Raw genomic sequence first — 25,571 nt, 5'->3', positions numbered from 1 at the left:
TCTGGAAATAAACCTTCACATTTACAAAAAATGGATTTTTAACCAGGATCCAAGACAATTCAATTGGGAAAGAATGGTTTTTCTGGCAAATGATACTGGAACAACTATTTATCCACAGACAAAAGAATAAAGTTAGACCCTACCTCTCACCATACACAAAACTAAATTGTAATTGGACAACACACCTAAATATAAGAGCTAAAACTATACAATTCTTAGAAAAAATATATAAGTCAATCTTACTACTGTGGGTTAGGCCAAGCTTTTGAAGTACGACAAAAGAAAAATAGCCAAATTAGACTTTACCAAAAGTAAAACTTTTGTGTCTCAAAAGACACCATCAAGAAAGTTAAAAAGCAACCCGCAAACTGAGAGAAAATATTTGCCATTTATATATCCGTTAGTGTTTTTATCTAGAATATGTAATATAAAAACTCATAAAACTCAATAAAAAATCCAATTAAAAATAGACAAAATATGTGAATAGGCATTTCTCCAAAGAATGTATGCAAATGGCCAATGATCACATTAAAAAGATGCTCAGTATCATTAGTTTTTAAAGAAATGGAAATCACAACCGCAATGAGATACTACTTCACACCCACTAGGATAGCTTTAATAAAAAAGACAGAAGTATTGGCAAGGGTGTGAAGAAATTGGCAACCTCATTCATTGTTGATGGGACTGTAAAATGATCCATACCATTTAGAAAAGTTTGGTAGTGCCACAATTTGCTAAACATAAGAGTTACCACATAACCCAGCAAAGCTACTTCAAAGAGAAAGAAAAACATATGTTTACACAAAAACTTGCAGTTGAATGTTATTCTTAGTATTATATGTAACAGCCCAAAATTGGAAACAACTCAAATGCTCATCAACTGATGGATGGATAAACAACATGAGATATATTGCTACAAGGGACTATTATTCAGCAATAAAAAGGAGTGAAGTACTGATATATCCTAGAACATGATGAACTTTGAAAACATTATGCTAAGTGAAAGAAGCCAGTCACAAAAAAATCACATATGATTCTATTTATGTGAAATGTAATAGACCAATTTGAAGACAGAAAATAGATTAATGGTTGCCTAGGGTTGAGTGGGGGACTGGGGGAATTTGGGAGTGATGGTTACAGGGTATGGGGTTCCTTTTAGAGGTGATGAAAATTTTCTAAAGCAAATGTGGTGACTGTTGCACAACTCTATGTACGTAATAAAAACCATTGAATTTTGGGCTTTAAATGAGTGACTTTTATGGCACGTGAATTATATTTCAATAAAGCTTTTTTCTTACTTTTTTTGAGATGGAGTCTTGCTCTGTCACCCAGGTTGGACTGCAGTGGCGTGATGTCAGCTCATTGTAACCTCTGCCTTCTGGACTCAAGCGATTCTCCTGCCTCAGCCTCCCGAGTAGCTGGAACTACAGGCATGCATCACCATGCCCAGCTAATTTTCATATTTTTTGGTAGAGACTGGGTTTTGCCATGTTGGCCAGGCTAGTCTCTAACTCCTGACCTCAGGTGATTCAAATACCTCAGCTTCCCAAAGTGCTGGGATTACAGATGTGAGCCACTTCACCTGGCCCTCAGTAAAGCTATTTTTAAAAAGGTTTACCCACCTCACCAGAAAGATGTGTATCATTTGTCCTAGTTTAAGTTCAAGGCCCCCCCTTTCCAAATTCTTCCCTAATTAATAGTCTTTTCATGTCACTACATAGAGATCTCCTTCCTTGTTTTCAGTGATGTGCACCACTGGGTCTTTGCACTGGCCCCTGCCACTTTTTCAAACACTGGTCTCAGAATCCAGCTTGTTTCCTCACTCTTCAATTTCTCTGTGAGGCCTCCCTGATGAAATACACACAACAGGAGGCCTGCTAGCACATACCACCGTGTGCTCCTGGTCCCCTTTCCTGTTTCACTGTTTACCACCACACTTGTTGCCAGGGGCAATGTATATTTACTTATTCATTGTCTCTACTTCCCACTAAAGTAAGTGCCACATAGGCAGGACTATTCGTTCCCTGTTTGTATCCCTAACACCCTGTCCTTAATACCAGTGCTTGGCATGTGGTAAGCCACAGGCTCTTGTGGCTACATGATTCTGTCGATGTCTGGAGAAACTTCAGGTTGCCATGCCTTGAGGATTAACTAGGTGCTACTGACATCTAGTAGCTGGAGGCCGGGGAGGCTCCTGAACACTGTAGAATATACAAGACCACCCTCAACACAAAGAATGATTCAGCCCCAAATGTCAACAGTGCTGCGGCTGAGAAAACCTGTGTTAGACCAGCACTATCCAATAGAAATACAACCAACCGGTCGGGCCCAGTGGCTCACATCTGTAATCCCAGAACTTTGGGATGCCGAGGAGGGTGGATTGCTTGAGTCCAGGAGTTTGAGTCCAGCCTGGGTAACACAACAAGACCTTCTATAAGAAATAAAAGATTAGCTGGGCATGGTTACACATGCCTGTGGTCCCAGCTACCCAGGATGCTGAGGTGGAAGAACAAATTCAGCCCAAGAGGTCAAGGCTGTGGTAAGCCGTGATTGCACCACTGCACTCCAGCCTGGGCACTGAGGCCACACTTCCTATAGGCTGCTCCCAGCCAGAACCGAGCATGCCAGGGTACTAGTGCCACCTGTTCCTGCAGGACAAGGGAATCCTCTAACAGTCAATAGTCCACCAGAGACTCCCAACTGATCCGGCCAAACGTTCCTAGAGCTGTGCTGTGTCTCGGACTCCTCCTGCCCTACCTTCCTTCCTTCCCCCTCTCCCCTCTCACATGGCAGTCTGAAGGCTCTCCCTGATCACTCCTGGCCCCTCTCTTAACCTGCACACGTGCATCCCCAATAAATCTCTGCTGATCTCATCCTAACTTGGTGTCTGCTTCTGGGAGGATTCATACTAACACAGGTTTCAAGGTCGGACAGCATTCAAATCCCACTCCCACCACAGACCCTGAGCCAGTTCCTAACCCTTTCTCAGCCTCAGTTTCCTAGCAATGAAAAGAATATTGAAACAGAAACTCTTTGAAAGCTCTTCCTGTCCTGATCTGTTCCAGAATCGGGCTCAGCAGGGTTCCTGCAAGGACACAAGTGTAGCTGCCTCTGAGGAGCCCCTCACGTGCCCATTTTAGCCAGTTTGTTTCTCCCTGGGCTCCTACAGCACATGTGCCCATCACACAGGGTTGCAAACACCTGTTTTCTCCTCTGATTCCCCAAAGGGTGCTGGACACCTGTAGAGGGGCTCTGTTTTGTTCACTTGTCCATGATGCTTAGAGAATGTTTACAGTGCACAGTGAATGCCGAGCACTGGAAATGCTCAGTGAACAAAGCCAACACCAGCCCCACCAGCTGTCAGCAAGGAGGAGTTCTGTGGCTATAGTCTCTTTGGTTCCATGGAAATGACACCAACAGCCCACATAATTGAGGGCCCTGTGCAGGTGCCGAGTTCCCAGCAAAAGTCTTTGCATGTATTTTCTGTTATATGAATCCTCCTGGCATGCTCATTGAGAGGTTCCATTAGTACATGCCCATCTTACACATAAATAAACTGAGGCTCAGGGAACTGGAGTTGATTGTCCCAGCCTGCACAGCAGGAGGAATCAAGGGGTGAGTTTTGGGTTTTATTTTGCATATTTCAGCAGCTTTACTGAGGCATAATTTACACACCATAAAATTTACTCACAATAAATGTACAGTTAGATCAGTAAATCTATAGATTTGGGCAACCGTCAGCACAAGCCAGTTTTAGAATATTTCTATTACCCTGAAAACATTTCTCTTGCCTGTTTGCAGTCAATCTTCCATTCCCACCCCCAGCCCTACGCAACCACCAATCTGCTTTCTGACTCCACAGATGTGCCTTTTTCTGCACATTCCCTCTAAGTGAAATCATATAGTGTGGCCTTTTGTGGTTGGCTTCTTTCACATAGTGTAATGCTTCTGAGGTTCATCCGTGTTGTAATGTCCATTGTGGCTTCATCCCTGTCTATTGACAAATAAAGTTCTGTTGCATGGATGGACCACAAACATCTACATATCCATTCTTCAGCTGGTGCACATTTGGGTTGTTTCCAGTCTTGAGCTATTATGAATAATTTTGTTATGAAAATGTGTGTATAAGTTTTTGTGTGAGAATATGTTTTCATTACTCTTGGTTAGATCCCTAGGAATGGAGTTGCTGGGTCACATGATAAGGGTAAGTTATACAAGAAACTGCCAAACTTGCCTCTGTAAATTGGTTGCCCACCAGCAGCATATAAGGGTTCCACTGCTCCACACAGTAGGGCTGAGATTGGAGGCAAGTCCAACCTGACCTCAGAACCCCAATACCCAACTTGTTGGTGATGTTTTCTTTCTATCATTGGGATACCCAGCTAAGGAATGAGGATCATGGCTGTGCAGGAATGAGGGCTGTCTGTGAAAACAAGAAGTGCTCCTGCACCAGCCCAGACAAGACCCCCCACTTATCTCCATCGATTTCTTGTCCTCCAAGTGATGCTGGAGCCCCTGGGCATCTCTCTTCCTCACACACAAACCCCACATTTCTGACCCCTGCCATTTATCTTCCATTGATCCTTAGGTTCTGCTGAGAGTAACAAGGATAGACAGGGGTTCACAGCCCAGGGCTAGGGATGCCCCATACATACCCTGGGCAGTGACCTTGGAAGGGCTGATTCAGCTGGAACTCAATATTGAAGCACCTAGGATGTGCCTGTTTTACAAACAGAAAGAAGATAATGCAGAAGCATGGGGTCCCCGATTAGCTGATCTGAGCTGGGGTTGGACTTGGCAATCATTGGATCCAGTGCTTTTCCTGAAACATGAGCATTGAGTTTCCTGCCCACACAATCTTGGGCTTAATTATGTCCAAGGAACAAACAGGGTCCTCAGTATGCTTAAAGCATTGACATTGGATGGAAGACAATTCAATGTTTGAGAAATCCCTGCAGACCCTCTGGGAATGTTTTGAATTCTAAGGAGACCATCTTGCCCTACTTCCTTATTTGACAGAAATGGAAAACTGTGGCTCACCGAGGTGAAGTGAAATACCCCAGGTCATCCAGCAAGGTGAGGGTGGAGCAAAGGCTTGGTCCCATAGCATATATTCATCCATCTCCTTGCCCATCCATTGTCTTCCAGCAGAATGTAAGCTCTGAGAAGATAAGGATTTTCCTCTCCTTTTCTACAACTGCTGTCTTCCTTGATTCTAGCACAGTGGCTGGCACAGGTTGGGTGCTCAGTAAATATCTGGTGAATGGGCCAGGCGTGGTGGCTCATGCTTTAATCCCAGCACTTTGGGAGGCCAAGACAGGTGGATCACGAGGTAAGGAGATCGAGACCACACTGGCTAACACAGTGAAACCCCGTCTCTACTAAAAATACAAAAAAAATTAGCTGGGAGTGGTGGCAGGTGCCTGTAGTCTCAGCTACTCAGGAGGCTGAGGCAGGAGAATGGCGTGAACCCAGGAAGTGGAGCTTGCAGTGAGCAGAGATCATGCCACTGCACTCCAGCCTTGGCAACAGAGCGAGACTCAGTCTCAAAAAAAAAAAAAAAAAATCTGGGGAATGAACCCAGGTGCCCTGACTTCTCTGCTTCATTTCACAAAGCTGATCTGAGCACCTACTATGTGCTACAAGCTGTGGCAGGTATTGGGTGTAAGATTTGAGCAAGACAGGACCCTTGCCTTCAAGGCACTTAGTTCTCAAGGGCAAGACGGTAGGTATACAGCTAGGCACAGAATTCTGTGGTTACAGTTTTCTAAATGCTACAAAGGGATTTGGGGCTTGTGTAATATGAACTCAGCCGGGAGGTCATAGGAGACTTTAGACCAAGGTTTAAAATAAAGAGGCTGAGGCAAGGCTCCAGTCCCAGAGCATCCCCAGGAGGCCTACTCTGTTCTTCCATGAGTGTCTCCTGATTAGAAACTCTTGAGTCTAGGAGGTCAAGGTGGGAGGATCACTGGAAGCCAGGAGTTCAAGACCAGCCTTGGCAACAAAGCAAGACCTCATCTCTGTAAAAAATAAAAATTAAAAATAAATAAAAATAAAATGTTAGAGAGAGAGAGAGACACAGACACCAGCCTAGGTAACATGGTGCAACCCTGTCTCTACAAAACATACAAAAATTAGCTGTGTGTGGTAGTGTGGCTGAGGTGGGAGAATTGCTTAAGCCTGGGAGGCAGAGATTGCAGTGAGCAGGAATCACACCATTGCACTCCAGTCGGGGTGACAGAGTAAGACCCCGTCTCAAAAGTGAGAGAGAGATTGAGATAAACAGCAGGGTCTGACTGGAGCTGAATTATTGTGCTCAGCCTAGGACCGACTGTCCCACCCACTGACCAGCACTGAGCACAAAGGATAAACCCTGCAAAGGAAGTGACCAGCTTAGAGAACACTGTTCATCACTCCAAGGCCTGATGTTAACCACCTTGAGGCTTCTTATTAAACAGAACACAATAACACTGTTCTGGTTATGTTTCTTGAAAAGAGTCCCTTTTTTAAGAGATACACATTAAAATATTTACAGATGAAATCATATAATGTCTGCATGTTGCTTCAGCATAATATTACAGGGGAGAAGGGATAGGCTGATGGCCATTAGAGCATGCTGAAGGTACCTGAGTTCTGTGTATCTTTAGGTTAAAATTTGTTTCAACCGGGCGCGGTGGCTCACGCCTGTAATCCAAGCACTTTGGGAGGCAGAGGCGGGCGGATCACGAGGTCAGATCGAGGCCATCCTGGCTAACATGGTGAAACCCCGTCTCTACTAAAAATACAAAAAATTACCCAGGTGTGGTGGCGGGCGCCTGTAGTCCCAGCTACTTGGGAGGCTGAGGCAGGAGAATGGAGTGAACCCAGGAGGTGGAGCTTGCAGTGAGCCAAAATCACACCACTGCACTCCAGCCTGGGTGACAGAGTGAGATTATGTCTCCAAAAAGTTTCTTAAAAAAGCAAAACAAGTAAAAAAAAAAAAAAAAATATATATATATATATATATCGATTACATGTGGACTTGGAGCAGCCAACGCCATTGCTTCTCATTCCCAACAGCAGCCAAGGCTCCTCAAGCTGAAATATTTGGGTCGGCCACACCTTTGCACCATGGCTTCCTTTGTTCTTCCTGAAGTCTTTCCTAATTGTGCTGGCATACAGGCTTTCCAGCAGGGAATCCCCTGTTTCAGAATTTCTTCCTAGCCTGACTAAAGCCTTTGCTGGATCTTATAAATCACAAGATTTCACAGGAGATGCAGCCCTGGATCAGATACTCACTAACACCTCTTGTCTTCCCTTGAGTGCTGGGAAAGGGATGCTGGAGACTGGGAAACATTTTGCCATTTGCAGTCTTAGGAGATCTTTGTAAAGATTTCTCCCTCTGGATGGTTTTGACCAGGGCATTGCCAAATTCCATGTCCCAAGAGTCTTGGTTTCTGGATCCTCCTGAGACTTTGAGTTTCCCATGAGGCCACAGCTGCAAGGGAGGCTGAGCCAAGTGGCCGTAACAACCAGGCAGAGTAGCGGGCAGAAGCAGGGGCAGGGTGCAAGCCTCTCCTCCCCAGGAGAGGAACTTCCCTGTGCCAAGGGGAATGAAGGGACCCAGGGGATGTGTGGCAGACCCAGTGCCCTACCTCTTTTCATAGTCTAGGTTCCCCACAGACCCCTTCATCAGCTGGCTTACTGTTCACTTCTAGGTCATGACATCAGCTGTGTGATGTGGGGACAGAAATCCCTGGCATGGCCTCTATGTCATCCCTCTGCAGACAGAGGAGGACTCAGGCTTGGCCATGATGCTGGAGTCACCGTGGATATAGACCCTGGCCCATTTGACTCAAGAACCACATACATAACTGGAACCAAGAGGCTGGGTTAATCCCCTCAAGGCCCTGGCCACTTGGAAGACCCTAAGCCTCCTTCCAGGTGGCCAAGCTAAGCAAAGCCACTTGCAGCCACCCTTCCACAATGCATTCTACATCATCCAGCTATGAAAACCACCTGCCCCCATCACTTTTGCACTCATGCCTTCCCCTAAGCTCAAGGGGCCCTGGCCCAAACTTCCTTTAGAACCAGGAAGGAGGTTCTGGCCCTCTTGAAAATCATCCTTTCCAAACAGAAGGCATTTATCTTGGCAAAGCTTAAAAGACAAAAAGCCTGTAATCCCAACACTTTGGGAGGCCGAGGCAGGCAGATCATCTGAGGTCAGGAGTTCGAGACCAGCCTGGCCAACATGGTGAAACCCTGTCTGCACTAAAAATACAAAAATTAGCCAGGTGTGGTGTCAGTCACCTGTAATCCCAGCTACTTGGGAGGCTGAGACAGGAGAATCTCTTGAACCTGGGAGGTGAAGGTTGCAGTGAGCCGAGATCACACCACTGCCCTCTAGCCAAGGCAACAAAGAGTGAAACTCCATCAAAAAACAAAAACAAAAACAAAAACAAAACAAAGAGATGACAGCTGAGCTCTAGGTCCCATCCCACAGACAATACCCAGAAACCTCCTCCCCACAACTCCCACACACCTGCCTCCCAGCAGCCGGGCCTTTTCTCCATGGGATTTGCCTACAAGACTTCTCTCCTGCTTTATCTCAAGTGGGTTTGTCAGGAGAGCAATGTCACCATCCCTCCACTAAATTCATCTCAACAACATTTACTGAGTGCCAAGTGTGTCCTGAACATGGCTCAGTGTTCGCATGCACTGTCTTGATTTAACCACACATGCTTATAACCTAAGGGAGGAGCATTGCAGTATTTCATCAATATAAAGATACACATCTTGATTTTTCACATTTTCATATACCTGAAATTTAGCTGGGTCTTCTAATCACAACTGTGACATGGCTGTCCTGCCTGGTCTCATACAGACTCAGCCACAGCGGTTCATAGCGTTGTCACATCAATTAAGATTTGGGCATGGTTATTTCACATGTGGAGTATAGGTGCTATTTTAAATGTCTTCAGAAAGTTCGACTGTGATTCAGCTTTGAATTGAAAAGCTAGTGTGCACGCAAGAAGCCTGGGAACAAAGCAGCAGAATGCCTGTGTGATGTTGGTGAGACAGACACATATTCATCCCTGCAGGGAGGTCTGCAATCCAGGTTTTCTTGCAAAGCAACAACCAAGTACTTAAAAACTTAAAACAGGACTTAAAAATGGGACTTAAAAACCATCCCAGGCTGGGCACAGTGGCTCACAACTGTAATCCCACAGCTTTTGGAGGCCAAGGCAGGAGGATTACTGAAGCCCAGGAGTTCGATACCAGCCTGGACAGCATGGTGAGACCACCATTTCTACAAAAAAAAAAAAAAAAAAAAAAAAAAAAAAAACTTGAAAATTACCTGGACATGGTTACCTGTGTCTGTAGTCCCAGCTACCCAGGAGGCTGAGGTGGGAGCATCATTTGAGTCTAGGAGTTCCAGGCTGAAGAAAGCTAGGATTGTGCCATTGCATTCTAGCTTGAGCAACAATGAGACCCCATCTCAAAAAAACAAAAAACATCCCCAGGATGAGTGGACATGCTTGCAAGAAATGCTTCACTTCCTGCGCTCCTCAATCAAGGGCCACCAAATGTTTTGTGCAAAGGGCCAGGTAGGCAATATTTTTGGTTTGTAAGCTATACAGGCTCAGCTGCAACCACTTAACTCTGTCATCAGGGCCTGAAAGCAGTCATAGGATTGTAGCTGTGTTCCAACAAATCTTTATTTGCAAAAGCAAAGGAAGGACCACATTTGGCTCATGGGTGATAGTTTGTTGTCCCTTTCTCTTGATGGAACAGAAAACAATGTGTGGAAAAATGAGGGCACTGATGATTTTAAGTCAAAAGTATTACAGAAGATGAACTTTGAACTAAAAAAAGTTCTAAGAATATCTCATTTCAGTGATATTTTATGTGTGTGTACTTAAAAAAGTGATGTGTGATTAAAAAACAAAACAAGGGGACTGCCATCAGCAACGGCCCCAAAGGCAGCTGGGCTCCTTGCTGGGTTGTGTGTTCAGCAGCCCCAGCATGGTGCATCAGTTGAGCACAGCTGGGACTCCCCACAACATGCGTGTCCCAGGCTGGCATGGAGATGGAGCACTGATGTTGCTGCCGGTGGCTGCTGATGGCAGTGGCGCTGGTGCTGGGTGGCTGCTACGGGCGAGGGGGTGTCGAGGAGGAGCACGGTAGTGTACACGATGTGAGCCAGGGCTCCCACGTGGCCGCCTTTGAATGGGCCAATGTCCAGGACCAGTACCTGATTGCGATCTGCATCCTTGTGGTCAGGCTGGCCAAGATTGGTTCTACCTGTCCCACAAGGCATCACCGTGGTCCCTGAGAGCACCCCTGCTCATCGTCCTGGGCCTGGTGCTGGGCAGCATCATCTGGGTGGCCGACCACATAGCGACTTCATGTTGACGTCCCCCATCATGCAGATGCCGACTACTTCATGCCCAACCGGCTCTTCTTTGGCAATCTGGGCACCATCCTGCTGTACCAGGTCATCAGCACTGTGTGCAATGCAGCCACCACCATCCTGTTCCTCTATGGCATCTCTCTTAGCAGGCTCATGGGCAACCTGCAGATAGGGCTGCTGGACTTCCTCCTGTTCGGCAGCCTGATCACCACTGTGGACCCAGCAGCCATACTGGTTGGGTTTGAGGAAGTTCATGTCAATGAGGTCCTGTTCATCATCATCTTCAGGGAGTTGCTACTGAATGACTGTACAATGTGTTTCAATCTTTTGTGACACTGGATGATGAGAACATGATCAGCGTGGACCATGCCAAAAGTGTAGTGTCCTTTGTGGTGAGCCTGGGGGGCATGACTGTGGGGTGGTCTTTGCCTTCCTGCTGTCACTGGTGACCCACTTCACCAAGCATGTGCACATCATCTAGCCTGGTTTTGTGTTAGTCATCTCCTACCCGTCCATAGGACGTCTGAGAAGCTGTTGCTGTTGGCCATCCTGGCCATTATCTTCTGTGGCATCTGCTGTCATAAGTACATGAAGGCCAACATCTTGGAGCAGTCGGCCAACACCATGCACTACACCGTGAAGATGCTGGCCAGTGGTGTCAATACAATCTTCATATCCCTGGGCATCTCGGTCATGAACCTGCTCATCTGGACGTGGAACATGGCCTTCATCCTCCTGCACTGGCCTACACCTTCATGTACCGAGCCATGGTGTCATCCAGTCCTGACTCCTGTAGTGCTATTGGATGATGCAGCTGGAGATCATAGACCAGGTGGTCATGTCCTATAGAGGCCTGCATGGGGCCATGGCCTTCATCCTGGTCATGCTTCCGGACAGAAACAAGGTCAAGGAGAAGAACCTGTTTGTCAGCACCACCGTCATCATCTTCTTCACAGTCATTTTCCAGGGGCTGACCATCAAGTCCCTGGTGCAGTGGCTGAAGGTGAAGAGGAGTGAGCACCAGGAGCCCAAGCTCCATGAGAAGCTGCACCACCATGCTTTCAACCACATCCTCTTGGCCATCAAGGACATATCCCGGCATATCAGGCACAACTATCTCAGAGAGATGTGGTCCCACTTTGACAGGAAGTTCCTCAGTGGGGTTCTCATGAGAATGCTGGCCCAGAAGTCTCCATATGGGATCCTCAATGTCTTCCATGAGCTGAACCTGAAGGATGCCATCAGCTAAGCCACCAAAGGAGAGTGCCTAAGGTCCGTGGCCTTCATCAGCTCCCCAAGTACTGATAACGTCGTCAACATGGACTTCACGGCACGATTGTCCACCATGGTGGCCTCTGTCTCCTACCTTCTGAGGGAGAACATCAGTGCCGTCTGTCTGGACGTTCAGTCCCTGGAGCAGTGTGGCAGAGCATTCCGTATGGGGAGGACCCCGTCACGCACCACACGCTGCAGCAGTACCTGTGCAAGCCGGGGAAGGAGTACATGCATCGCTACAGCCACACCAACTGAGGACAAGAAGCGGGACCGGGAAATCTTCCACAGGTCCATGAGGAAGCACCTGGAGTCCTTCAAGTTGAGCAAGCTCAGGATCAACCAGAACAAGAAGGCAGCCAAGCTGTACAAGCCAAAGAGCGCCCAGAAGCGGTAAAACAGCAGCATCCCCAATAGGAAGCTGCCCAGGTAGAGCCCCGTGCACAATTTCACCATTCAGGAGAAAGACTTGCAAATTTCAGACACGGAGGAGGCCCCCAACTATGATGCTGAGGAGACGAGGGAGGGGGGTGGTGTCAGGGCGAGTACTGAGACCCCAGCCTCGTCGCCAGAGTGCCACCCTGGCTGTCTCCTGGGGAGATGGTGGTGTCCTCACAGAGGGCCTGCGTGCAGATCCCCCACTCTCCTGGCACTTTCCGCTGCCTGACGCCCTTGCAGCTCAGCTACAAGTCGGTGGACTCATTCCTGCAGGCAGATGGCCCCAGGGAGCGACCCCAGGCTGCCTTCCCCTAGTGCACGCACATGTGACACCGGCTCTGACATGCCCCTGACTGGACGCTTGTCCCCATGGGCCGCTCACTGAGGCCTCCGAGAAGCTCCTGGGCTCCCCCGCCCGACTCGCGCTTAGGGGTTCAGAACTCCCAAAGCTCTGCGCCTACTCCGGCAGAGCCGCACTAACGCGAACCCGCGAACCCGGGCCGGGGCCTGGGCCTGTGTGGCCATACTGTGCTGCTGAAGCTGGCATTGCTGCCACCCTTGTGCCAAGCACTGCGCACGTCCTGGGGGCGGGAGAGACGCCGCTGTGACACTAGGCCGGGAAATGCCGGTGTTCCAAGGCTTGAAGCTGGCTTCCATTGGAATCGCTGCCAGAGAAACCGAGGCCCGCACAAAATAAATTTGCAAAAGTGATGCCCCAGGCAAGACTCCAGGCCCCTCCCAGCCCTGCGCCTCTCCCTGCTGACGGTGGGGTGCGTCCAGAGTGCCAGGACTTAGGGCCTGACCCTGGAGGGTGGCAAGTGGGAGGACTAAAGAGAGATTGGTAAAGGGGGGAGAAAACGGGGCGAGCAAGAGGGAGAGAAGGTTTTGTGAAAAGACAGTGGGGAGAAAAGACAGTGGGGAGGAAAGTTTTTGGGTAGATGGAGCGGGAAAAGAGGGTGGCGAGCAGGAGGCATAAAAGACGGTGGGGAGAAGAGTGGGGGAAAAGGTTTTGGGTAGATGGAGGGGGGAAGGTGATAAGCAGGAGGTGGGAAGGAGGGTTGGGAAAACGACGATGGAAAAATAGTTTTGGGGTAGATGGAGGGTGAAAAAAGGGTGGCATGTGGGAGAGGGGACAGGAGTGGGGAAGAAGAGGGTGGTGAGCAGGAGCAGGGAGAAGGCTTTGTGAAAAGATGGCGAGGGGGGAAAGACAGTGAGGAAAAAATGTTTTTGGGTAGATGGAGAGGGAAAAGAGGGTGGAGAGCAGCAGGGGTCAAAAGAGAGTGGTGAGTGAGGGAGACAAGGTTTTCCGAAAAGACCGTGGGGGAAAATGTTTTTGGGTAGCTGGATGGGGAAAGGAGGGTGACAAGTGGGAGAAGGAAAAAGAGGGTGGCGAGCGGGAGGGAGAGAAGGTTTTGCGAAAAGACAGAGGGCAGAAAAGAAAGACGGTGCAGAAAGAAAAACGGTGGGTAAAAAGCTTTTGGGTGGATGGAGGGGGGAAAAGAAGGTGGCAAGTGGGAGGAGAAAAGAGGGTGGCGAGAGGGAGGTAGGAAAGAGGATTGGGAAAAAGACGATGGGGAGAATAGTTTTGGGGTAGATGGAGGGCAAAAAGAGGGTGGCAAGCAGGATAGGGGAAAGAAGAGGGCAAGCGGGAAGGCGAAAGGGCTTTGTGAAAAGACGGTAGTGTTGTCTTATGTGGCTTTACACATATAAAATATGTTTCTGTTCCTTTCCTTCTGAAAATTTTTAAGTAGTCACAGTAAGTCTACTCGTACTATAAGAAATGAATCTGGTGGGGGGCACTTGTAATCCCAGCACTTTGGGAGGCCAAGGCAGGTGGATCACCTGAAGCCAGAAGTTCGAGACCAGCTTGGCCAACATGGTAAAATCCCATCTCTACTAAAAATACAGAAAGTAGCCAAGCATGGTGGTGGGCACCTGCAATCCCAGCTTCTTGGAAGGCAGAGGCAGGAGAATCACTTGAACTTGCCAGGCAGAGATTGCAGTGAACCGAGATTGTACCACTGCACTCCAGCCTGGGAGACAGAGCAAGACTCTGTCTCAAAGAAAGAAAGGGAGAGAGAGAGAGAGAGAGAGAGAGAGAGAGAGAGAGAGAGAAAGGAAGGAAGAAGAAAATGAAAAAAGAAAGAAATGATTCTAAGTTACTGTTTTTAACTGCTGCAGAGTATTCTGTGGTAGGAACATACAATAGTTCATGTAGTTATTCTCCCAATGATGGACCTTTAGATCATTGCCAATATCTCACTGCTACCAGCAATGTTGCTAAGATAATCTTGACTATACTTTCTTGCACACACATGCAAATGTTTTGGTTTTAATAGATATGTCAGATGCCCTCCAAATTGACTGCACTAATATGCACTCCCTCTGGTGGGACATGAGGGTACCCATTTGCCCAACTCCGGCTAACATTTGTTATCAAAGTTAAAAATACTTGCCAATCTAATCAGTAAAAATAGCATCTCAATGCCCTTTTATTTGTATTTCCTTGATAAATGGTGAGATCGAGCATTTTTTCTTTCTTAGCAATTTTAATTTCCTTGAATAGTATTTTCATATGAATTGCCTATTTGGTATTCATTTGATTTTTTTCTTATTGCCCATTTATTATGAATACTCATTTGTTTGGACTTTATTATCTTTGTGGGGTTATTTTGTTTTGGTTTGGTTTTTTGAGACAGCCTTGCCCTGTCACCCAGGCTGGAGTACAATGGCATGATCTCAGCTCACTGCAACCTCCGACTCCCAAGTTCAAGTGATTCTCCTGCCTCAGCCTCCAAAGTAGCTGGGATTACAGGTGCCCACCAAGAAGCCCGGCTAATTTTTGTACTTTTAGTAGAGACAGGGTTTCACCATGTTGGCCAGGCTGGTCTTGAACTCCTGACCTCAAGTGATCCACCCTCCTCAGCCTCCCAAAGTGCTGGGATTATAGGCGTGAGCCACCATGCCCGGCCTATCTTTGTGTTTTCTATTGATTATGCTGTTTCTCTTTTTGTCCCTGTTCTTGCTTTCTGTTGGGTTGATTGAAATTTCTTTGTTCCATCTTATTTCCTTTACTGGTTTGAAATTTATACATTTCATTGTTATTTTTCTAATACTTTTAATTTTTTATATCCATATATAATGTTGCCTAACAAAATCTAAAGGTAAACAGTACATATAGACTCTTCCCAAACAAGATGAGTGTTCACTTCCTCCCGCTGTTTTCCTTTTCCCCAACTCTCCTGTTGATATAATCCAGAATTCTAATTCTAAATTGTTATTTTAAGCATCCATGGCAATCAATACTTTAGTCTTAAATAATAGCATTGGCTGATTACTTAGAGAATTGTTACTTTTTTCACACTGCTTCTTCCTCTGGATTCATGTCATTTCTTGCAGGAGGACTTCTTAAGTAGTTCTTTTCAACAGAATCTGTTGCTGGCAAACTTTCTTAAATCTTGAATGTTCAAGGTGAGGGCTTAGAGCAGGCCCGCTGCCCCCGAGTCCAGGGTGAGGGCTCAGAGCAGGTCCACTGGCCTCACAGTCCAGGGTGAGGGCTCAGAGCAAGCCCACTGCCCCCGAGTTCAGGGTGAAGGCTCAGAGCAGGTCCACTGGCCCCAAAGTCCAGGGTGAGGGCATAGAGCAGGCCCACTGCCCCTGCAGCTCAGGGTGAGGGGCTCAGAGCAGGCCCACTGCTCCCCCAGTCCAGGGAGAGGGCTCAGAGCAGGCCCACTGCTCTCCCAACACTCAGCTTTTCTCCCAACAGGAATCATAGAAAACTCAGAGGCTAGTGAAAGGTTAAAGCAGGTGGTCCACACCAGCTGCAGAGTCAAAAAGAAAATACACGTCTGCTGCCATTTAGAGTGAGGACACAAACTCAGGCAAGACTGTTTTTCACACGATGATCCATGGGTGGGGCCTTGCTTGGCCCCCCCCCCCCCCACACACACACACAGCTGCTGACCTCTGAATACAAAACAATTTTTTTGTTTCAGGACCGGGCGCAGTGGCTCACGCCTGTCATGCCAGCACTTTGGGAGGCCAAGAGGAACGGATCACTTGAGGTCAGGAGTTTGAGACCAGCCTGGCCAACATGGCGAAACCCTGTCTCTGCTTAAAATACAAAAATTAGCCGGGCATGGTGGTGGGCGCCTGTAATCCCAGCCACTTGGGAGGCTGAGACACAAGAATCACTTGAACCCAGGAGGCAGAGGTTAGAGTGAGCCGAGATCGCACCAGTACACTCCAGCTTGGGGGACACAGAAAGACTCCGTCTCAAATAAAAATAAAAATAAAAATAAACATGCTTTAGGGGACTTGGATGAAATTGAAAATGTCCTTTTTGACTTTGAACAGATCAGATTTGGGTGATTTCTTAAGAAATCTTTGAAGCTTTAAAGTTGTGGTAAAAATAAAAATCCATCTTCCTTTTCCTGCATAGGTTATTCAGAATAGGCTGTTTTGATAAGAAAGGCTCCCCAGATTTCCAGAGGGAAGGGTCCAAGCTGCCAGTGTTCACCCAGCACCAGGACTCATGCCCTGCCCCCAGGAGACCTCCCCAGCTCTCCAACCCTCAACTCCGTGCTGACCTGGTGGGGCTGGAAGCCAGGGTTCCAGGGTTCCTGAGGGGCCAAGGCCTCCCCGCAGGTCCTCGCCTGCCTACTAACATCCACCTCCAATGGACCCAGTCTGCCCCAGATCCCCCCAGCCCAGGTAGAAAGGAGCCCCGGGTCCTCACTGGCTCCCTCGGTGGCCTTCTCGGTGCGGTGGGCCAGGCCCTCGGCAGCCAGCTTCCCCAGGCCTCCCAGCATCATGTGGCAGCAGATGGTGGCCAACTAGGATGCTGAGGACTGGCCCAATGTGCCTTTAGAGATGCCTCTGGTGCTCGTCTGGGCTCTGGGGCAACAAGCCCTCGCCCCAGCCCAGTAGGAGGCTGGACAGGTGAGTCAGTGAGGACGGTAGCAGGAAAGGGGCTGGGTGGAGCCACCCCGGCACTGGGGTGGCAGCATCGCCTGACAGCATGAGACTTCTGTAACCCTGTCCTAGGGACCCCGTGAAGGATAGGGGCAGGGAGCAGGGCTGAGGCTGGACAGGAGAGATCTGGACATGCCCCTTCCTTGAGGCAGAGGGCCTGAGTGCCAACCCCCCTGAGACCCAAGCTTCCCAAGCCTGGGCACTGATATGTACCCGGAGACAAGACCTAAGAATCTAAGTCTGCTGCTCAAGGTCCCCAGTGTGGCCCAGTCAGGGGTTTGGGGGTTCTACGGGCCTGGAGACCTGGGCAGTCCTTTGGGTCACAAACACAAGTGGAGTGAGGGTGGCTGCCCTCCCCATTCCTGGAGACCCGGGCAGTCCTTTGGGTCACAAACACAAGTGGAGTGAGGGTGGCTGCCCTCCCCATTCCTGGAGACCCTGGCTCTGCAGAGCAGTTTGCGGCCTCCATGGGACAGGTGGGGCATTCACGGTGGTGCCTTGACCGAGGCAGAAGGGGGCACAGCACTGAGCAGAAGCATAGTCACCTGGCGCCACTCAGCTGATGCTCACTCACCCAAGAGGCTCTGTGAGGTCAGCGGTGCCCTCCTATCCCCTGGCAGTCCTGGAGGAGTAGACAGAGGCCTCCACCACCACTCAGGGAGATGCTTCTGGCCTTACCTAGAATCCCCTAGAAAGCAGCTTCCCTGGCTCCTGGCGCATCACATGAGGAGTGGCAGGGCTGCTCCCTAGTTACTCATGATGGACAGACATGCCTCAAGCCACCTGCCATATGCTGCTTTCCTTAGTCACCAGCCCAACCTGAGCCTCCGTTTCCTCATCTGTAAAATGGGCATAGTGTGCCTTCTTGGCTGTGTCCCTAATCATCCCTGAGACAAAGCATGCAAGCTCCTGGTAAACACCTGTTCCCTCCACTCATCACTGAGGTGCCCTTTGGCAGTGAGCCAACCTGGTGGGGTGGGCCAAGGAGTGACTGGGACATGAGGTTGCCTTGGAGCCAGAGGGCTGGGGAATGTGACTTCCACTGGCCAGGAGCCAAGGAGAGGTCTTCCCATGCTCCTACTTCTGGGGTGCAGGCCTGGGGCAGTGGTCTGATGCCCTCTCCCCAATGCAGGCTCCCGGAGCTGCTCTACTGGATATGTCAGGGCCTGATTAGTTTACTGGACTGTGGGCCCTCCCAGCCTGGGACTCGGGAGCTGAGACCCTCTTGCATTCCTGCATGGTGTTTGGGGGCTCCAGGGCTATGGCCAGTCCCCCTAGGGTGGGCAGTGGGTACCATGGGCAGCAGGACCTCTGGGTCTCAAGGCCACGGCCCCACACATGCCATTGCTGTCTCCTTTGGGCAGGGGTGATTCGGGGCTTCAACAATTTAGAGGGGCCTCTTTATGAAAAAGAATACAGTAATATGATTCTTGCACATTTTTCATTTATATACGTATGAACCTGTGGACCCAGAAGGGGCTGTGAAAGTGGGGGGCCTGGAGTTCAGGCAGGTCCAGATGACCCTGTCCTCCTCTTGTAACAGCCAGAGTCCAGGATGTTTTGCCCAGGGCATTGAGCTGGCACTGCAGAGGGTTGGGTGCTGGGGGAGGGACACCTGGGACATGGCTGGTTGGAATTGGGCTAAGAAATCTCAGGGATGCTCCCTGGATCCGTCAAAGCCCCTTCCCTGTTTCTTTTGAGGCTCTATGTCCCCCACCCCCACAGGGGTCCTTTCTATGCCTGTTCCCCTGACAAGTGTCATCTGCCTGCTCTAGAATGGCTTCCAGACCCCACGGACTCCCTCCTCATGAGCTCCCACCCTAGGGTACTCTGCACCAGTCCCCTCTCTCAGGAGCTCACCAACCCCAGACAGCCTGTTGTCAGAGCTCAGCCACACAGCAGGACACTGGCCCACTGCCCAGCCCAGAGCCAGGCCCACCACAGCCTCTGGGGACAACTGCCCTTCCCTCCACCCCCTCTACTGGTCCCCTGCCCATGAGACCCTGCCCTGCTTTAATGCAATGCCTTGGCGTGAGCACTGTGATTCTAATGACAACACACCATGGCCCTAGACTTCCTGGGTAAGGCTGGGTCCAGACACAGATCCCAAACGCCTGCTGGGGAGAAGGCAAGAGGCCCGGGGAGGCCCAGGACCAGACAGGGGCCCCAGGCCCTGGTGCCCTCCCACTTGGCTTTCTAGCTGCTGCTGTGACCAGATCCCCGCCCACCCAGCCCAGCCCATGGACCCCAGCAGGCCCTCTGTGTCCCACCTCTGGGGCAGACACCTAAGAGCGGGACCCTTTTCTAGCCAAAGAACCTGAGACAGCCCAAAATCCTCCTTACCATGATGGATCCTGATCTGAGGGGCTGGGTTCAGGTGACTCCTGCAGGGAACTTCACCTGCCTCGATGAGGTCAAGGGTGAATCAGGTGGTGCCTGCCCTCCACCACCCCATCATGGAAGAGGTCCAGCCCACAGTGGGCCCAAGAGGGCCGCCCTTGGACCTAGGGACCCAAGTCAGCATATCCTGAGTCAGAAGGTCAAGTCCAGCCTCCCCTCAGGCAGGGAGAATCTGGCTTTGATAGGAGCAGATAAATTCTCAAGGTGGAATTTGCCCAACTAGTTTGGCAAGGGACTAGCTGGCTGAATCATTGAGTCAAGGACAGCCAATGTTTCCAATAGCAATTTGCCAACTTAGCAATTACCAATTCTGAAAAACAATCTGTTTATTTGAAATACTTAAATACTTAGGCTGTCTCATGTCTGAAGCATGATGATGCCTTGCGTGATTTAAAGGACAGACGTCACGAATGCCAAGAGTTTTGTGGCGGTCCATCCTGCCAGCGTCTTCTCCCACTTTTGTTCTGTGGATTTGAGCTCACAGTTTGTGCTGTGCCCACCGCCTGCCCACCCTAACGAGACTCCTGGAGACTTGCCTGGCCAGTCACCAGAGGAAGAGGGGCCCAGCAGCACGCCAGCATTCACCCACCTGTGGGTATCAGTCAGGCTCCTGGTGGAAGCCAGAGGACATATTCGAATGGGTACTTGAGGAAAGGGGCTGTTCACAGAAGTGTGGACCGAGTTAAGAGAACCAGTAAGAGATGAGGAATGTCCTGGACCAGCAAGAGTGGGAGCTGTTATCTCCCTGGGTCTAGAGGGACAGGAAAGGTGTCCACAGATCCCAAAGAGGGCTGTGGCTGTAGAGGAGGATCATCAGGAGCTGCAGCCATCAGTAGAAAGATGTGGCCACTGCCAAACCAGCAAGGAAGAACCTGAGCGAATAACCACCTCTCCTCTCTCTCTCTCTCCCACCTCCTATGACGTCCTCCACTGTGTGAATTCCACTAGGGCCAGACAGTGAGGCACCCTGCTGATGCAGTCCAAGAAGGAGCGGGCAGAGAGGAGCCAGTGGGTATGAAGGGGAAACAGATAAACAGAGAATTCCAGCTCACTCTGCGGGATTTCTGGGTCTGATAGAAACATGGCATTATTATTATTAATTATTATTATTATTACTATTATTATTATTTTGAGATGGAGTTTCGCTCTTGTTACCCAGGCTGAAGTGCAGTAGCATGATCTCGACTCACTGCAACTTCTGCCTCCCAGGTTCAAGAGATCCTCCTGCCTCAGCCTCCCAAGTAGCTGGGATTACAGGGACATGCCACCATGCCTTGCTGATTTTTGTATTTTTGGTAGAGATGGGGTTTCACCATGTTGGCCAGGCTGGTCTCGAACTCCTGACCTCAGGTGATCAGCCCGCCTCGGCCTCCCAAAGGGCTGGGATTACAGGCGTGAGCCACTGTGCCCGGCCTGCAGCAGTTTAATTTTACAGTGTCCCTTTTCTCCTTCTGGAAACTATGTGGAGCAACGACAAGACTGAGGAGGGGGAGGAGGAGGAGGAAGAAAAAGCCCATCATCAACACACACATCAAACTCAACTTCAGAGAAGTTAGGAAGCTGGGAAGCCATGTAAACCCAAAAGCAGGTGACACCAGCAGAACCAACACAGGAAGCCAGGGAAGTGCAGAAGAACAGGGCATGGGGGGGCCACCCAGGGGAGAATCTTCACTGTTGCCAGCAACACACACTCCCAGCAGGAGAGGACCCTCAGAGTGAGAACGCAGAGCTGGAGAAGTGAAGAAAGAAGGAGCAGGTGGTGCCCAGGGAAGTCCAGGGGTGCGGGATCTGAGAGCGCCCCTTCCCAAGAGTGGCGGGAACACTTGGGAAGGCAGGGCTGAGTCCCTGGAGGCTGTATCCAGGAAAGGAGGCCGGCAGTAGAAACTTCCTGAAGCCGAGTGGGTTCTGAGAGGCAGAGGGGCAGTGGTACAGAGGTGAGGCTGATGCTTCTGTGCAGGAAGGGCAGGCTCCTGAGGAAGGGAGCCCCGAATGCTCTCCACTAGATTCCCAGGGAGCCCCACTCCCTCCACAGGGACCTTGCACTGACATCTGGGAAATGCCATTCATACTGGAACCTCCGGCACACTGCCATGAATGTGAGGGTTTTGTGACTGATGGGGTAGGTTTCTCTCTTCCAACTCAATAGTATAATTTCCATTTATTCCTCCCCCAGCCTCCCTGAACATTCACCTCTTAGATAGCCACAGTACGGTGATCAGAACCAGGAAATCCACATTCTCATATTTAACTATATTAAAATTATTTCACAAAATAACCAATTTTATTAATTTAATACATTTAAATAATGTTTAAATATATTTAAATAATTTAACTAATTTAAAATGAACATATTCGCTAAACAAAAGACCTTATTGGAGTTTCACCACTTTTTCCACTAATGTCCTTTTTCTGTTCCCAAATTCCACCCAGGATCACGCTGCATTTAGTTATTTCTTAGTCTCTCGCCGTTTTGTAGGACTGCAATAACAGTTCCTCAGTCTTTCCTTATCTTTCATAACCGTGACATTTTGAAACAGTACTGATCACTATTTGTCAAATGTTCTTCGATTTGGGATTGTCTGATGTATTTCCATGATTGGACTGAAGTTACACACTTTTGGCAATTACAGCACAAAAATGATGTGGAATCCTTCCCAGTGCATTCCATCAGAGTTATGGCATTGATAGTGCTTCTTACTGATGATGTTGAACTTGTTCATTTGGTTCAGGTTTCTGCTGGTTTTCTCCGTTGTAAAGTTACTATCTTTCCCCCTCATACGGGGAAAGATCTTAGGAGAAATACATGGAGACTATGAAAATTTTGTATTTTCTCAAACTTTAAAATTTTTTTTCAGGCCAGGCGCAGTGGCTCACGCCTGTAATCCTAACACTTTGGGAAGCCGAGGCGGGTGGATCACCTGAGGTCAGGAGTTCAAAACCAGCCTGATCAACATGGAGAAACCCCATACCTACTAAAAATACAAAATTAGCCAGGCGTGGTGGTGCATGCCTGTAATCCCAGCTACTCAGGAGGCTGAGGAAAGAGAATCGCTTGAACCCAGGAGGAGAGGCTGCAGTGAGCTGAGATCGTGCCATTGCACTCCAGCCTGGATAACAAGAGCGAAGGTCCATCCCAAAAAAAAAAAAAAAAAAAAAAAAAAGACCAGGCACAATGGCTCACACCTGTAATCCCAGCACTTTGGGAGGCCGAGGTGGGTGGATCACCTGAGGTCAGGAGTTGGAGACCAGCCTGATCAATATGGAGAAACCCCATCTCTACTAAAATAAAATACAAAATTAGCTGGGCATGGTGGTGCGTGCCTGTAATCCCAGCTACTCGGGAGGCTGAGGCAGTAGAATTGCTTGAACACGGGAGGTGGAGGTTGCCATGAGCCGAGATCCTGCCATTGCACTCCAGCCTGGCCAACAAAAGCAAAACTCCATCTCAAAAAAAAAAAAAAAAACAAAAAAAACTATTTTGACAGCTGGGCATGGTGGCTTACACCTGTAATCCCAGCACTTTGGGAGGCCAAGGCAGGTGGATCACCTGAGGTCAGGAGTTCGAGACCAGCCTGGCAAACATGGTGAAACCCTGTCTCTACTAAACATACAAAAATTAGTTGGGCATGGTGGCATGTGCCTGTAAGTTCCAGCTACTTGGGAGGCTGAGGCAGGAGAATCGCTTGAACCCAGAAGGCAGAGGTTGCAGTGAGCCGAGACGGCGCCATTGCACTCCAGCCTGGGCAGCAGAGTGAGGGATCTCAAAAAATTATAATAAAAAAATAATAATTCTATTTTGAATTGTGGTAAAACACACATAAAATTTACTACCTTAACCACTTCTAAGTGACAGTTGGAACAGGGTCAAGGAGAGCCCTTGGGTTGGGTAATGTAGGGTATATTCACATTGCCATGCAACCAATCTCCGGAACTTTCTCATCTGACAAAACCAAAACTCTATATCCACTAAGCAACTTCCCATTTTCTCCCTTCCCCATGTCCCTGGCAACCCCCGTTCTACTTTCTGTTTCTATTAGTTTGCTTACTCAGTCTGGACGCTTCACATAAGTGAAAGAACACAGTATTTGTCTTTTTCTAACTGGCTTATTTCACTTAGCATAATGTCCTCAATGTTCATCCATGTTGTAGCATGTGTTAGAATTTCCTTCCTTTTTAAGGCTGAAGAATATTTTATTGTATGTATATACCACATTTTATCAATTCATCTGCCTATGGACAATTCGGCTGCATCCATCTTTTGACGAGTGTGAATACCACTGCTATAAATATCAGTGTACACATATTTCTATGAGACCTTGCTTTCAATTATTTTGGCTATATACCCAGAAGTGATATTGCCGGATCATTTGGTAATTCTATTTTTAATTTTTTGAGAAACTGCCTGTCCTGTGCTGAGCAGGTCTATATAAACCTACCCGCAAAGGCCAAGGAACCTGAGATACCAAAGAAAGAGGCTGACAAATCCAGTTTCTCAGAAAGAAACATTTAATAGGCGTTTATGAACAGAAGGCAAGTCAGGGATGGCACCAAGATAAGATGGTGGATCCCTGTGCCATTACCCCCACCCCCCCGACCCAGGGCTTCTATAGCATAGGGGAAGGGTAATGCGGGCTTCAGCAGGGATGTGTATGGCCAGACACGGTGGCTCACGCCTGCAATCCCAGCTCTTTGGGAGGCCAAGGTGGGCGGATCACCTGAGGTCAGGAGTTCCAGACCAGCCTGGCCAACACGGTAAAACCTCGTCTCTACTAAAAATACAAAAATTAGCCAGGCGTGGTGGCAGGCGCCTGTAATCCCAGTTACTCGGGAAGCTGAGGCAGGAGAATCGCTTGAACCCAGGAGGTGAAGTTTGCAGTGAGCTGAGATTGTGCCACTGAAGTCCAACCTGGGAGACAGAGTGAGACTCAGTCTCAAAAAATAAAAAATAAAAAATAATTTTGTTAAAAAGATAAAATAGAAATCGTAGATGAATTCTTGGAACTGGGATTAATCAGAATATGGCAGATTAGCATCCAAAATGGAATTGCTTTATTCTCATTCAAGGTTTCCCTCATTCTTCACTCTCCCCATGCTGGTCACCTTGCTGTTTGTTCCTCAAACACATATGAAATGCGTTTCTGTCTTGGCAGTCATCCTGCTACCTGTAATGTCAGCACTGCTTTCTGTTGTCCCTTCAGTCAGGTCACTGTTCAAATAGCTCTCTAGACAGGCTCTTCCTTATCATTCTACTTAAAATAGCCCCCAATCACTCTGTGTCCCTTTAGCCTGCTTCCTCTTCCTGCTATTTCATACTACCTGAAAAAATACTTGTTTGAATTTCCTAGAACATAAGCTCATAAAAGCAAGAACTGTGCTCCACCTCTCCTCTCCTCTACCCCAGCACTCAGAAGAGCAACAGAGTCAGCATCCAGTGAGTGTTCATGAATCAAGTCACTGCTTGGCAGAATTCAGCACTGGGACCACAGCCTCGCCTATCTTCAACTCTTTCTCCTTCTGCTTTTCCTCCTCCCACTCTAGTAGCCACTCTTCTGGGGGCTTGTCCCTTAAATGATTAGTCCTTACCGACCTATTTTCTGTCCACTTTATCTGTTTTTGAGAGAGGGTCTCACTCTGTTGCCCAGGCTGGAGTGCAGTGGCATGAATATGGGTCACTGCAGCCTCCACCTCCTGGGCTCAAGTGAACTTCCTGCCTCAGCCTGCCATGCCATGTAACTGGGGCCACAGGCATGTGCCACCATGTCCAGCTAATTTCTTGATTTTTTTTTGGTAGAAATGGGTCTCACTTTATTGCCCAGTCTGGTCTTGAAGTCCTACACTCGAGCAGTCCTCTCAACTTGGCCTCCCAAAGTGCTGGGATTACAGGCATGAGATACTGTACCTGGTCTTATTTTTTCTTTTCTTAAGATACAGGGTCTCACCATCTGGCCCAGGCTGGACTCAAACTGCTGAGCTCAAGTAATTCCCCCATCTCAGCCTCCAAAGTAGTTAGGACTAAAGGCATGAAAACACCATGCTTGGCTTGTCCCATTTCATTCTACACACTTTCTCGGTATTTAAACAGCTGCTGTTGCTC

The 25,571-nt window shown here is 48.7% G+C and overlaps 2 pseudogenes across 1 annotated transcript in view, besides 2 other annotated features; both read left to right on the top strand.

The window, feature by feature from the left end:
* FAM21EP (family with sequence similarity 21 member E, pseudogene) overlaps positions 1-16,384 on the top strand; it is a 46,622-nt pseudogene extending 30,238 nt beyond the window's left edge. The window contains exon 7 of the transcript NR_038275.2: positions 16,099-16,384. The product of NR_038275.2 is annotated as a family with sequence similarity 21 member E, pseudogene (transcript). The remainder of the gene's footprint in view (positions 1-16,098) is intronic.
* Positions 9,700-10,199: an enhancer, noted in NCBI's record as "H3K4me1 hESC enhancer chr10:51787127-51787626 (GRCh37/hg19 assembly coordinates)". NCBI's record gives its function as "activates a minimal SCP1, AML or CMV promoter by ChIP-STARR-seq in primed H9 embryonic stem cells {active_cell/tissue: H9 hESC(primed)}" and the evidence as "EXISTENCE:reporter gene assay evidence [ECO:0000049][PMID:30033119]".
* Positions 10,203-12,194, top strand: SLC9A3P3 (solute carrier family 9 member 3 pseudogene 3; annotated as a pseudogene).
* Positions 12,171-12,671: an enhancer, noted in NCBI's record as "H3K4me1 hESC enhancer chr10:51784655-51785155 (GRCh37/hg19 assembly coordinates)". NCBI's record gives its function as "activates a minimal SCP1, AML or CMV promoter by ChIP-STARR-seq in naive H9 embryonic stem cells {active_cell/tissue: H9 hESC(naive)}" and the evidence as "EXISTENCE:reporter gene assay evidence [ECO:0000049][PMID:30033119]".
* Positions 16,385-25,571: the final 9,187 nt, after the last annotated feature.

The sequence above is a fragment of the Homo sapiens genome, chromosome 10 (assembly GCF_000001405.40).
Source record: "Homo sapiens chromosome 10, GRCh38.p14 Primary Assembly".
NCBI lineage: Eukaryota > Metazoa > Chordata > Mammalia > Primates > Hominidae > Homo > Homo sapiens.
Note: the sequence above shows the minus strand (reverse complement) of the source record. Positions and strands in the feature narration are given on the sequence as shown.